Source organism: Homo sapiens, chromosome 10 (genome assembly GCF_000001405.40).
Source record: "Homo sapiens chromosome 10, GRCh38.p14 Primary Assembly".
Classification (NCBI taxonomy): domain Eukaryota; kingdom Metazoa; phylum Chordata; class Mammalia; order Primates; family Hominidae; genus Homo; species Homo sapiens.
In genome coordinates this window covers 49,115,608-49,129,914 of record NC_000010.11, presented here as the reverse complement: position 1 = coordinate 49,129,914, position 14,307 = coordinate 49,115,608, and the positions used below count along the sequence as shown (strand labels likewise).

The 14,307-nt window shown below is 42.6% G+C and overlaps 2 long non-coding RNA genes across 2 annotated transcripts in view; one reads left to right on the top strand and one right to left on the bottom strand.

The window, feature by feature from the left end:
* The window catches only part of FAM170B-AS1 (FAM170B antisense RNA 1), a 29,709-nt gene extending 21,633 nt beyond the window's left edge, over window positions 1-8,076 (bottom strand). Inside the window, exon 1 of the long non-coding RNA NR_038973.1 lies at window positions 7,639-8,076. This is a non-coding gene — a long non-coding RNA (FAM170B antisense RNA 1). The remainder of the gene's footprint in view (window positions 1-7,638) is intronic.
* Window positions 8,077-8,453: 377 nt separating this feature from the next.
* On the top strand, window positions 8,454-9,799 carry LOC124902545 (uncharacterized). The gene is made up of 2 exons (XR_007062371.1): window positions 8,454-8,712; window positions 8,807-9,799. It is a non-coding gene; the product is annotated as an uncharacterized LOC124902545 (long non-coding RNA).
* Window positions 9,800-14,307: the final 4,508 nt, after the last annotated feature.

The following is a 14,307-nucleotide window of genomic DNA, read 5'->3' as shown; positions in this document are numbered from 1 at the left end:
TAAGAAGTGACATGATCAGATTTGTATTTTAAAAAGCTCACTCCACAGTGTGTGGGATATGGATTGGGATAGCAGCAAAAGAAGAAGATGAGAAGTGGAGAGATCAATTAGGAGGCTGTTGAGGAAGTCCAGGCCAGGAATGGTGGTGACTTGGACCAGGCTATCCCAAGCCAAGAAGGAGAAGAATGGATGCCTTCAAGACTTATTTGGGGAATAGAATCCAAAGGCCTTGGGGAAGGGTGCAGGTGGGGGTAGAAGAAAGGGGTTTGTCATGGTGGATTCCCAAGTTCCTAGGAGGAGCAAATGTGGGTGGCTGTGCATTAACTGATATGGGGAAATTTGGAGGGTGATTTCCATATGAGTGTGTGTGTGCCAGTGTTTGTGTGTGAGCATGCATGTCTGTGTTGGACATGCATATCAGCATGTGTCTGCACGTAGACATACAGGCATAAGTGCTGGGAGGCAGGTGACAGAGGTGAGTTGAGACATGGTCAGTTCTAAATGCCAATGGCACATTTGAGCAGAGATGTTGAGTGGGAAGTTCATGTTATTTAGAAGATAAGTCTAGATTGGAAATGTAAATGAGAAAGTTAACTGCAAATAAATGGTACCATATTGAAAAACCACAACAGTGGATGGATGACACTAACTAGGGTGCTGGGGTAGAGTTAGGGTGAGCCCTGTGAAGTAGGGAGGAATGGAGTGAGGAGCATTTCTTAGGAATTTTCTTCAAAGTCAACAAAAATAAGAAAAGATAATTTTCAGGAGTGGTGAGCAGTGTCGAATGCTAAGGAGAGTTGGAGTGAGCTGAGGACACAGCGCATTTCATTTGATGCACGAGGTTGCTGACAGTTCTGAGGAGAGCAGTCTCAGCAGCTGGGAAGGGCAGAGGTCAGACGGGCAATGTTCAGCAGCAGACATGAAGCAAACTGCTGGAGGTAAGCATTGGACATCTCTGCAGGCAAGTATGATTAGAAAGGAAAGCAACAATGGTTGTAGCTGGACAAAGATGGCAGAGAGACCAAGTTTATGCCAATGGAAATGATCCAATAGAAAGGAAGAGACAGATAAGGTGGAAAAATGGGGAAATCTAAGGAGAGGAGCCAAGCAGGAGAGAGGGGGCTGAGCTGACATGGAGAAACCGGCCTTGAAAAGGGCGGCTCCGAGCTCCTTGTTGCATGCAGATGGGCAGTTAGTCACATAGGGCTTTGGGGTCAAAATTAGGGAACTTGACCATCCATCCTGAAAACTACAAGGAGCTCTGGAGAAATCTGAAGTCAGATTTGCGTTTGTGAAGATCACTCTGGCGAAAAGGGTCAAGAGTGGATGACAGCCAGCATCGTTGGTGACAAGGGGTTCAGCTAAAGTGTGGGTGGCAGGGTGAATTCAGGGGAAATTTAGAAGATTGAACCATAAAGTGTGGCTAGTGTGTGATGAGGATGGTGAGAGGAAGGAATCCAGAATGACTGCTAGGGTTTTTTTCTGGGTGGCAAAATGTCGGAGCCATTTGCAGACAATAGAGAAGGAGAAGGTTTGCTTGGGATGCTGATAAACCCACCTTTGAACAAGCTGAGCTTGAGACAGAAACATTCAGAAGGGTGCTACTCGTAAGGGTGTGGAGCTCAGAAGAGAGATCATCTGCCTGTATGTGGTGAGCTGTGGCCATGGTGCTTTCCATGGGCTTCATGTGGGATGCATTCCTTCTGCTGGTGCAAGTGCAGCAGGAAGCCATGAGGTCATCTTAGAAAAGGCATCAGAGGTGGGGATGATAACTTAACAGCCTTCTAAAGGTGCAGCAGAGGCCACAAACCTTTTGAATTTGGTGTGAAAGGAGCTTGAGGATCAGCAGGAAGTAAAAACAGCCCCAGTTTTATGAAACTCTTCTCGGAAGAGCTATCTGGTGTTTGTGGGGGCTTCATAGGCAGGTAAAGTCCAAGGGACACTGTAAGGGAAGGAGAGTCTCCTGAGCCAGAAATAGTGAGTACTAATGAGGAGAATAGTTTTATTTTTATTTTTATTTATTTATTTTTTAATTTTATTATTATTATACTTTAAGTTTTAGGGTACATGTGCACAATGTGCAGGTTAGTTACATATGTATACATGTGCCATGCTGGTGTGCTGCACCCATTAACTCATCATTTAGCATTAGGTATATTTCCTAAAGCTATCCCTCCCCCCTCCCCCAACCCCACAACAAAGGGAATATCACCACAGATCCTACAGAAATACAAACTACCATCAGAGAATACTACAAACACCTCTACTCAAATAAACTAGAAAATCTAGAAGAAATGGATAAATTCCTCGACAAATACACCCTCCCAAGACTAAACCAGGAAGAAGTTGAATCTCTGAATAGACCAATAACAGGCTCTGAAATTGTGGCAATAATCAATAGCTTACCAACCAAAAAGAGTCCAGGACCAGATGGATTCACAGCCGAATTCTACCAGAGGTACAAGGAGGAACTGGTACCATTCCTTCTGAAACTATTCCAATCAATAGAAAAAGAGGGAATCCTCCCTAACTCATTTTATGAGGCCAGCATCATCCTGATACCAAAGCCGGGCAGAGACACAACCAAAAAAGAGAATTTTAGACCAATATCCTTGATGAACATTGATGCAAAAATCCTCAATAAAATACTGGCAAACCGAATCCAGCAGCACATCAAAAAGCTTATCCACCATGATCAAGTGGGCTTCATCCCTGGGATGCTAGGCTGGTTCAATATACGCAAATCAATAAATGTAATCAAGCATATAAACAGAACCAAAGACAAAAACCACGTGATTATCTCAATAGATGCAGAAAAGGCCTTTGACAAAATTCAACAACTCTTCATGCTAAAAACTCTAAATAAATTAGGTATTGATGGGACATATCTCAAAATAATAAGAGCTATCTATGACAAACCCACAGCCAATATCATACTGAATGGGCAAAAACTGGAAGCATTCCCATTGAAAACTGGCACAAGACAGGGATGCCTTCTCTCACCATGCCTATTCAACATAGTGTTGGAAGTTCTGGCCAGGGCAATTAGGCAGGAGAAGGAAATAAAGGGTATTCAATTAGGAAGAGAGGGAGTCAAATTGTCTTTGTTTGCAGATGACATGATTGTATATCTAGAAAACCCCATCGTCTCAGCCCAAAATCTCCTTAAGCTGATAAGCAACTTCAGCAAAGTCTCAGGATACAAAATCAATGTACAAAAATCACAAGCATTCTTATACACCAATAACAGACAAACAGAGAGCCAAATCATGAGTGAACTCCCATTCACAATTGCTTCAAAGAGAATAAAATACCTAGGAATCCAACTTACAAGGGACATGAAGGACCTCTTCAAGGAGAACTACAAACCACTGCTCAAGGAAATAAAAGAGGATACAAACAAATGGAAGAACATTCCATGCTCATGGGTAGGAAGAATCAATATTGTGAAAATGGCCATACTGCCCAAGGTAATTTATAGATTCAATGCCATCCCCATCAAGCTACCAATAACTTTCTTCACAGAATTGGAAAAAACTACTTTAAAGTTCATATGGAACCAAAAAAGAGCCTGCATTGCCAAGTCAATCCTAAGCCAAAAGAACAAAGCTGGAGGCATCACACTACCTGACTTCAAACTATACTACAAGGCTACAGTAACCAAAACAGCATGGTACTGGTACCAAAACAGAGATATAGATCAATGGAACAGAACAGAGCCCTCAGAAATAACGCCACATATCTACAACTATCTGATCTTTGACAAACCTGAGAAAGACAAGCAGTGGGGAAAGGATTCCCTATTTAATAAATGGTGCTGGGAAAACTGGCTAGCCATATGTAGAAAGCTGAAACTGGATCCCTTCCTTACACCTTATGCAAAAATTAATTCAAGATGGATTAAAGACTTACGTGTTAGACCTAAAACCATACAAACCCTAGAAGAAAACCTAGGCATTACCATTCAGGACATAGGCATGGGCAAGGACTTCATGTCTAAAACACCAAAGCAATGGCAACAAAAGCCAAAATTGACAAATGGGATCTAATTAAACTAAAGAGCTTCTGCACAGCAAAAGCAACTACCATCAGAATGAACAGGCAACCTACAAAATGGGAGAAAATTTTCACAACCTACTCATGTGACAAAGGGCTAATATCCAGAATCTACAATGAACTCAAACAAATTTACAAGAAAAAAACAAACAACCCCATCAAAAAGTGGGTGAAGGACATGAACAGACACTTCTCAAAAGAAGACATTTATGCAGCCAAAAAACACATGAAAAAATGCTCACCATCACGGGCTATCAGAGAAATGCAAATCAAAACCACAATGAGTTACCATTTCACACCAGTTAGAATGGCAATCATTAAAAAATCAGGAAACAACAGGTGCTGGAGAGGATGTGGAGAAATTGGAACGCTTTTACACTGTTGGTGGGACTGTAAACTAGTTGAACCATTGTGGAAGTCAGTGTGGCGATTCCTCAGGGATCTAGAACTAGAAATACCATTTGACCCAGCCATCCCATTACTGGGTATATACCCAAAGGACTATAAATCATGCTGCTATAAAGACACATGCACACGTATGTTTATTGCGGCACTATTCACAATAGCAAAGACTTGGAACCAACCCAAATGTCCAACAATGACAGACTGGATTAAGAAAATGTGGCACATATACACCATGGAATACTATGCAGCCATAAAAAATGATGAGTTCATGTCCTTTGTGGGGACATGGATGAAATTGGAAATCATCATTCTCAGTAAACTATCGCAAGAACAAAAAACCAAACACCGTATATTCTCACTCATAGGTGGGAATTGAACAATGAGAACACACGGACACAGAAAGTTTTATTTTTAAAAAATCAGTATGGGAGAGAATTGAAATGAGGCATAATATCTAAGCTCTGAAATTTCAGCCTGTAAGAGACAAGTGTTTTTAAGTGCTAAATTCTGTATTCTAAGGGCAAAGCATCATTTTAAACACTTTGTGAATAGTAAATCATTCAGTGCTCTCCACAGTCCAATGAGGTGGATCCTACTATTGTCCGTGTTCTGTTGGTGAGTAAGCAAAGACCCTACAAAGGTCATATGGCTGGTGTACACCAGCTTGGCTCCAAGCCTATGTTCTAATTGTCACACAGAGAGGCAAACTTCAGTGTAAAGACAGATGCAAGGTATTTAGGAAAGCAAATATGTCAACTGCACAGGCTGCATTTTCTTTAGATTAAGTAGCAGCAGCTGCAGATGAAGAGAAACATGATGAGTGTTCAGGAAAAATGAAAGATGACAGCAACCTCGGGTAAGCAAACTATTAATGTAAAGGATAACTTCAGCTGACACGGATGGAGAAGAAGAGAATAACATTATTCTTAAGGTTGTGACTTGTTCTTTAACTATAACTGAAACTCAACTGAGTTAAACATTCATTTGTGGTTTAGACATAATTTTGCAGATACCTGGGACCTCACAGACAGGAGCAAGGGAAATCCTTCCAGAGGTGTCAGGGGACCTCAAACATTTTAAATTGTGAACCACTTTAAACCCTTTATTTTCCCAAACTATAGAAGATGGAGCTTATGTTATAAAACCTACATAAACCTCATAACAAAGCCTGAAAAAGATGGCACTAAAAAAGTAGGCAATATGTCGATCTCACTTATTAACACAAAATAATAGCTAATCTAGTTTAACAGACTACAAAAACAATAATTCACCATGACTGGCCTGGCATGGTGGACTCACGCCTGTAATCCCAGCACTTTGGGAGGCCAAGGGCAGGTGGATCGCTTGAGCCTAGCAGTTTGAGACAAGCCTGGGCAAAATGGCAAAACCCCATCTCTACAAAAAACAAAAAATACAAAAATTAGCTAGGCATGGTGGTGCGCATCTGTAGTCCCAGCTACTTAGCAGACTGAGGTGGAAGATGACTTGAGCCTCGGAGACTGAGGCTGCAGTGAGCCATGATTGTGCCACTGCACTCCTATAGCCTAGGCAACAGAGTGAGACTGTCTCAAAAATAAAGAGTATTTCATCATAACTCAATTTGGGTCATCTCTTGACTAAAGATAGTTAAAAATTATTAATTCTAACAGTGCTTTGTATTGAAAGAAAATTCTTATGATTTTCTCAGTAGATATTAAAAACAATCAGAAATAAACCAATGCACTTATGGTCAGTTGATTTTTCAAGAGTGCCAAGATAATTTAATGGGGGAAAGAATAATCTTTTCAGCAAATTGTGCTGGGACAACTGGATATCTGTATGCAAAAAGGTGACATTGGATCCCTACCTCACAACATATAAAAAAAAAAAAACCCTAAAAATCAAAGACTTAACTGTAGTAGTCAAAACTATAAAACTCTTAGAGAAAACATAGATGTAAATTCTGAGAATTGAAAACATATGTCCACATAAAAACTTGTACATGAATATTCACAGCAACATTATTCATAATACACATAATTCACCTAATACAGAAAGTAAAAACAACCTACATGTTTATCAGATGATGAAAGAATAAACAAAATATAGCATATCCATACAATGGAATATAGTTCAGCCATAAAATGAAGAACTGATCCCATGTTATATACGGATGAACCTTGAAAACCTGTGAAGCGAAAGAAGCCAGACACAAAAGGCAACATAACGTATAATTTCATGTCAATGAAATATTCAAATAGGCAAATTTATAGAGACAGAAAGCAGATTAGTGGTTGCCAGGGATTCAGGGGAATGGGAGGAATGGGACAGACTGCTAACAGGTATGGGATTTCTTCTTAGGGTGATGAAAACGTTCTGGAATTAGTGGCAATGGTTACACAACTTTGTGAATATGCCATAAACCACTGAATTGTAGTATGTGAATTGTATCTCAATTTAAAAGACTTATAATAAGTACAACAACCATTCCTGTAATAAGTTCCTTAGAAACTAAGAATAAGATTTTTTTCAGATAACATAGAATATCTCAAACAAAATAGCAAAATATCTACATGTACTTCCATTAAAATCAGATAAAAAATGTCATTTATTACAATTTTTATTTGACATTGTTCTAGAAGTTACAACCAATGCATAAGATGTGAAACAGAAATGTTGTATACAATAGACAGAAAATAATTTTCAGAAAAAGATAATATACTTTGAAAGTGCAAATGAATTAATTAAAATTATGGAAAAAATAATCAAAGGATCAATATATAAGATGGATTTCAAGAACTTCCTTTTATATTAGACATGACTAATTAGGAAATAACATGGAAAATATTCCATCCACTAGATAAGTAGCTATTAACAGAAATATTGCAAGAGTGATGAAATGTCTAAGTGATTATTTTTAGTTAGTAATTGTTGATAAATTTTATTTCTTCTGTAGTTTTTATTATTTTATATTTTCTATATTGATCAAGTATAGCTTTTAGAATAAAAAGGCAATAAAACATTTAATCAAGCATTACTTTGTGTGCACCTATACTCTTAGCTACTGGGGAGGCTGAGGTGGGAGGATGGCTAGTACCAAAGAGGTAGAGGCTGCAGTGAGCTATGATTGCAACACTGCACTCCAGCCTGGGTGACAGAGCAAGACCCTCTCTCTAAAAAAAACAAACAAAATATTACCTTAGTAAGAAGTGACTTTGGGGACCTCCTCAGTTCACACTTGTAGTCTGCAAGCCATATTGTAAGAACCCCAGCTCTTAACTTCTTAATCCTTAGTTCTTCAGAATTAAATTAGCTTTAATTTTAAGAGCACTTTATAATAGATGATGGCCCAGCCAACTCAAGGCAATTAAATTACATCATTCTTTTTGAGATGTGTCCTCATTGTTTACCAAGGGTGAAAGCTATGAGAGGAAGATCTTGAGAGAGAACCAGGGTGGGAACTCAGTTGACAGAGGGTAAAGATGATGAGTCTGGGGACGGAAACAAGATGGCATCAACAGGACCATACAAGAAGAAGTGGAAGTTGAAGAGAATGAAGGAAAGATGAAGTTCAATAAGGCAGATAGAGGTGGGAAGAGAGAAGTGGCAGGTGTTAAGAATAACATGTAATGCTTTGACCTGAAATGTGACATCACAATGGGGTCCTGGAAGGGGGATTGTGGGGGAAAACGAGGGTCATGTCAAAATGGTGGAGTCCTGACAGACCTTTCATGAGAATTTCTGTGGTGCTCAGTAATGGGTTAAATTGTGTCCTCTCAAAATTCGTATGTTGAGGGCTGGGCATGGTGGCTCACGCCTGTAATCCCAGCACTCTGGGAGGCCGAGGTGGGCGGATCACTTGAGGTCAGGAGTTTGAGACTAGCCTGGCCAACATGGCGAAACCCCATCTCTACTAAAAATACAAAAATTAGCTGGGCATGGTGGTGGGTGCCTGTAGTCCCAGCTACTTGGGAGGCTGAGGTGGGAGAATCACTTGAACCTGGGAGGCGGAGGTTGCAGTGAGCTGAGATCATGCCACTGCACTCCTGCCTGGGTGACAGAGCGAAACTCTGTCTCAAAAAATCATATGTTGAATCCTAATCCCTAGCACCTCAAAATGTGACTGTATTTGGAGTTAAGGCTTTTAAAGAGGTAAATTCATATGGGAGTGCCTAATCCAATATGACCAGAGTCTTTATAAGAAGAGGAGATTAGGACCCAGGCACACACAGAGAGAAGACTGCATGAAGACACAAGGAGAAGATGGCATCTGTGAGTGGAAAAAAGAAGCTCAGAAGAAACCAACCCAGTGACACCTTGATCTCCAACTGTGTCACAGAACTGTGAGACAATACGTTTTTTATAGTTTAAGCCACCTGGCCTGTGGATTACGGCAACCTGAAAAAATGAATATAGATTCTGAAGAGCAGGAGACAGAGACAGGAAGACAGCAGCCACAAAGGCTCAGGGAGGTCCACATTTCAGGTAGGGAGGCTTCCCAGGTGGGGTCCTTAGGGGCACAAGCACGTGGTGAGCACTCTGTCCACATTTGTTGATGTAAATGCTGGTAATAGCATAAATACATTTGGGAGCAAGCAACTCACTTTTGGTGAACACAGGGTGGTCTCTGGCCTGAGCACAGAGGGTGATGTGGGCACATGTCAGAAGGTTTTGCAGAAAGAGTCAGGCGTGTGGGGATGTGGTGCTACTTTCAGCCTCAAATGCTTCCCTCCCTGTGACCAGAAGGTCCCACAGAAAAATGAGCTGGGCACAGGGACAAAGAGGATGTGCTGAGCTTTAGAAAAGACAGAGTAAAGAGATTCATGAAAATGTCAGGTCTACAGCCCACAGCCTGGGTACCAGAAGCCAGAGCTCATGTGTGCATGTGTGTGCATACATTTGTGTGTGTGTGTGTGTGTGTGTGTGTGTGTGTGTGTGTGTTACCTGCTGCTCTGCACTGGGCCATGCTAACACCTAGCTCGGGCCAAGCACAAGGACCCTGTGAAGAGGCTCACAAATGACTCCTGACTCCTGAGGATTTATGTACCATCTGCTGCTGGACTTACTGCAGTCCCTCCAAGCACACCCTCAAGGACTACTGAGCTGGGGTGCCATCAGTCTTGGGAAAAGAGAGTGAGAATTCCCTAAAGCAATGTTTGGCAAACTTGACTACTATTCTTTTCAAAGGCCAAGAAACATTCCTATGGACCCTGCCTTGACTTCAGTTATTGCTGTGGAAATAAAGCAGCACAAACACAAACAGCTAAGCTTATAGTTGCTTTACAAGTGCAAAACAAAAACCAAATGTGTAAATTAAACACAATTGCAAACAGCAATAAAACTCAAACTAACAACATTAGTTTAATGTGACTATGGGTGTTTGTGAAACCGATTTGCCTCTTCTGTGAATATGGAACTGAATGCCATTCAGATTCTCCTGATGGGTGATGGGCTCTCATGCCAAGGGCTGGGAAGTGAGTCAGAGCCTTACAGGAGTCGCATGCTGATAGAGCTTGATGCCTTTACCTCCACAGGAGTCAAACTGCCACGTGTGTCAGACCAGCTCATACTAGACTTTGGTTACAATCCATTGCTTCTCTAACACTTTTAGTCTAGACTTGCTCCAAGCTGGGAGTCTTTGTGTCTCTGTAGAGGACTTACAGAGGTCTTATTCCCTTATTTCTAAGTTATTAAGAATGCAGAATGGGAATTTTCCTGAAGCCTAAGTCTTCTGCTTGGATTCACAAAACATCAGAACTGCATTTACTGTAACATCTTTGACATGGGGAGGAAGCAATTTATAATTAATAGTACCTTACAATAGATGAAATAATGTAATATGTATGATACTGATCAATAATTACATGATGCCTATGAGCAGCATATATATAAAAACACTGAGATATCATAAAAGTAATAAACAAGTTTTAGTTTTAAGTTTTACTTCGAAAAAAATGAAAACTTACAGAAGTTGCAAGAATAGTACAATGAATTCCATATGCTCTTTATCTAGATCTACTGACTTTCCCATTTGCCTCTCTCTCCCTGTGTCTCTCTCTCTTTCCATATATATATTATACAATACATATTATAGATAAACTTGTTATTTTTGCTGAACCATTTAAGAGTAATTTACAGTCATTCTATTAACACCAGATACTTCAGTGTGGATCGCCTAAGAACAAGTGTAAAGGCATTCTCTTTCATAATCATGCTCAGGAAATGTATGTAGTATACAATATAGTCCATTTGCCAGTCATACCAATAATGTCCTTTTTAGCATTTTTTTCCTGATCCCACATCAAGGATCTAGGATCATACGTTTCACTTAGTTGATAAGTCTTTTTAACCTCTTTTACTCTGAACAGTTCTTCAGTCTGTCTTTTGCTCACTGAATGTTCAATAAAAGTAGAAGGCATAGACTGAGATTTTTAGTCTTATACATCAGTGGTCAGTTCTAAGATGTTTTCTTTGTGGTCAGTTTTATAGACATCTGTTTGGTTCCTAGTCCCTCCCTCATTTCAATCACCTCCATCTGGAGCCTTCTAGGAATCTGGGGCCATGTCTTTCCGTTTCCTGGGAGCTGGTCCAGGTTGCTGCATCCAGCCGGCCTGCAGAGCCCTTGGCATCAGCTCACAATCACGTCCCTCTATTGGGGTCACCAATGAGGTTGGTTAGAAGCTATTTCTATCTAGACATCCTGTCAGGCCTATAGCTTCACATTTCTGTACATTTCGGGAAAAACAGTGTAGTCCATACTCCTTCCCCAGTTGTGCAGGGAGAAGACGGTGCTGAAGGTTTCATGTAAACTCTGCCCCAGGGGCCTTAGGCATATCTTTCTGATTGGATGGCTGCATTGTCTGTAACCACGATCTCTCCTCTTTCTTATCCTTTCCCTGCTCTCTCAGTCACAGCTGATAACTGCTTTTCTCTAGAGTGAACTCTCTTTTAGTGGCAATTCAAGCATGTAGCTGACTGCTTTTAGCTGTAAAATGCCTGTGAACAATAGGGAGGAGCAAATATTCAAAATTACTTTTAGAAACCTAGACTGAAAAAGTAACACTTGGAAATCTGCTAAACACCTTAGAAGAGGGGTGTTTCGTTTTGCTTGATGGTCTTAGTTTAGGGATATATTTGCTGTGTGCAAGGTCCATTACAAAACCATGCTGTACTCTTCCATCTCTGACCCAGGTTCTAACAAACAATTGGATAATGAAAGAGGAAAAGCCCCGGCCTGCCAGGTGATAGCAGAATGCACTTGTTGGAGAAAATCTGGATTTCTAAGATTCTTTCAGTGGCAACTGGTAGAATACAGGATTAGTTGAGTAGGCTCTCCATATAGCTTAGTGTCCACAGGAATCTGGATCAACTTTAGAATGGTTTGAACACCCTCTTCTTATGAGGTAAACAAAAAATAGAATTGGATTGTATTATTCTTCCAATTCAGTACAAAGTAAGACCTGATAGAGCCAAGGTATGGACAAAGAAGCCTGTGAAGGATTTTCAAATGGTCCTAAGCTTGTGAATGAGTGAGCAGGCAGCAGAGCTAAGAAAACCATTTGGAAGGCCTTTGCCAATGTAGTCCAGAAGAGCTGAAAGGCCAAGTCTTATCCGGGTCACTGGCTCTGTCTCCCATGAGGGCTGAGTATATTCCCTTGTTCCTGTGTTCATGCAGCAAAGGTTTTACCAGGATGATCAGTTAGATTATATGGGAAGCTGAAAAGTACCAGCAGTGCACACAGCTGTAAAATCAGCACAATGTTACCTGTAGCAGAAAAGTACAAGAAAAGCACTTTCTAGCCTCAAATCTTTGGCACAACCCCAGTTTGGTAAAGACGAAGCAAGTCAAGGGTGGCAGGCTGAATTTCTGCTCTGTTTTGCAATGAGAGTTGGATATTTAGCAATATACAACGACCAAAGCAGGAGTTGCCTCCTCCAAGGGTGGCTGACACATCTAAGGGGTCCCTTCTGCTTTTCACCAACTGGGAGAGTAAATTGAGACCAGCAGGTTGAGGTGGGAGGTTACCAAGGATACCAAATGGCCCTGCCACATCTCTAGCTGCTCTTAGTACAGCCATGTCAAGACGCCATTTTACATGTGTCACCTTCACTTGACAAATGAAATTCAGAGAGGTTGTGCTGCTCCAGGACCCAAGGTTGTTGCCCAGCCAGAGCGGGTCACAGATCCACTTTCAGAACCAGTGCTCCTCTTCAGACATCCTCCCTCAGTCTGCCAAACACTGCCCCAGGCTCCAGGGCTGAGTCAACAGTCTGCAGTCAGAGTCCAAGTTCCCAGTTCAGACATTTGGTGCCCCACAGAACCTTGTACGGGTCCCTGGTCTTCTTTGAGCCTGAATTTACTAATTTGTAAAATGAGGCCTAGGACATTATGTGGATGGGACGTGAGGCTCGTTTGCTCATGTATAAAATTGGTTTCCAAACTCTGGTCTGGAAGCCTCACTTGGTTCTAGTTTGCATTCCTGGGCTGCAGGAGTCCATCTGACCCCAGTTCTAGTCCTCACTTCTTGTCCTTGGCATCATAGCCAAGTACCTTTGTTGCCAACTCACTATCGGGTCCTCAGGCCCTTCCACCAACCCAAATTATAGATGGGGCTGCTTTCTCCAGCCTGGCTGCCTTGATGGTCAGTCCAGTCCCTGCAGGGCCCTGGTCCACAGATGAGTCTCCTAGCTGGAGGATCCCATGGGGTCCAGAGACCTCTGGAAGTGCCTGGGGTTCAGAGATGTCACAGAGCCTTTGCACCCACTGGCCTGGGGTGCCTGAAGAGGATGGTCCCTCTGGGGAATGCCCTGGGGCTCACACTAGTGGGCTGCACCCTCTTTCCATGCCACCCACACCTCCTCACTCCCTTAGAGGGAAGGAGATGAGGGCCCTGTCTCCTCCTCCTCCTACAGGGACCCACTCCCAACCAGGGCCCACCTGCTAGCTGCTGCTACCCCTCACTGGAACTCCACAAAGACCTCTCCTGATAGACACACACAGAATAGACCTAACATGTGCTTTTCTTGCTTGGAGATGGGTTAGGCTCAGACCCTAAGTTTAGAACAGTGGCAAAGAGACCAGGCATTGGCTCAGAGTGACAGGGCTCTGTGGTTGTGTGACATGGGTCTCTTTCATGTGGCTGCTTCTGCTTCCTTATGTATAGTAATAATAGTAGTGTTCACTGACACCCGTGAATCGGGTGCTGGGGCAATGCGTTAATGGGAATGGTGTAACTTGGTCTTCCTAAACACCCCAGAAGGGGTGGGCCCATTTCCCCATTTTACAGGTGCAGGAAACTGAGGCACATGGAGATTACAGAACTGTCCCAGGCCTGACCGCGGCGGGGTTCAGTAGCATCTGGAAAATCACTTTAGCCCAGGCCTGGCTGAGGCACTGTAAATGGGCACTTTTGTTAATAGTTTCCACATATTCTGGGCTGGTCTGTGTGGACCCTCTCAGTTTTCCAAGGGTTAGCACCTCGGACCCCGCCCTCCATTTCAGGGCAGCAGAAGGGGCTTCTCCCCCCTCAGCTGCTTGTTGGCTCCCGAGGGTCCTGTGGAGTGAGCGCAGGAGGCCCACGACCAGCAGGTGAGTCTCAGGCCAGAGGTTCCCTGGACGCGCCCCCACCCCCTGGCTCCCAGATCCCGCCTTCCCTTAGGAATAAGTGCATCTGTGGGCAGAGGACCGCCGGTCGCACTGCAGCTGTGTGTTCTGTGAGTCACCAGCGATCACCTTGCAGAAACTCAGTTTTCTCATCTGGGAAATGGGGCTGTTGAAAGGAGACGCCACAGATCCTGGAGCGAACCGATCGCGCGGCGGCTCCCGCGCCCGGTGCGGGCCTCGGGACCCAGCAGCCCCGGCCCCGC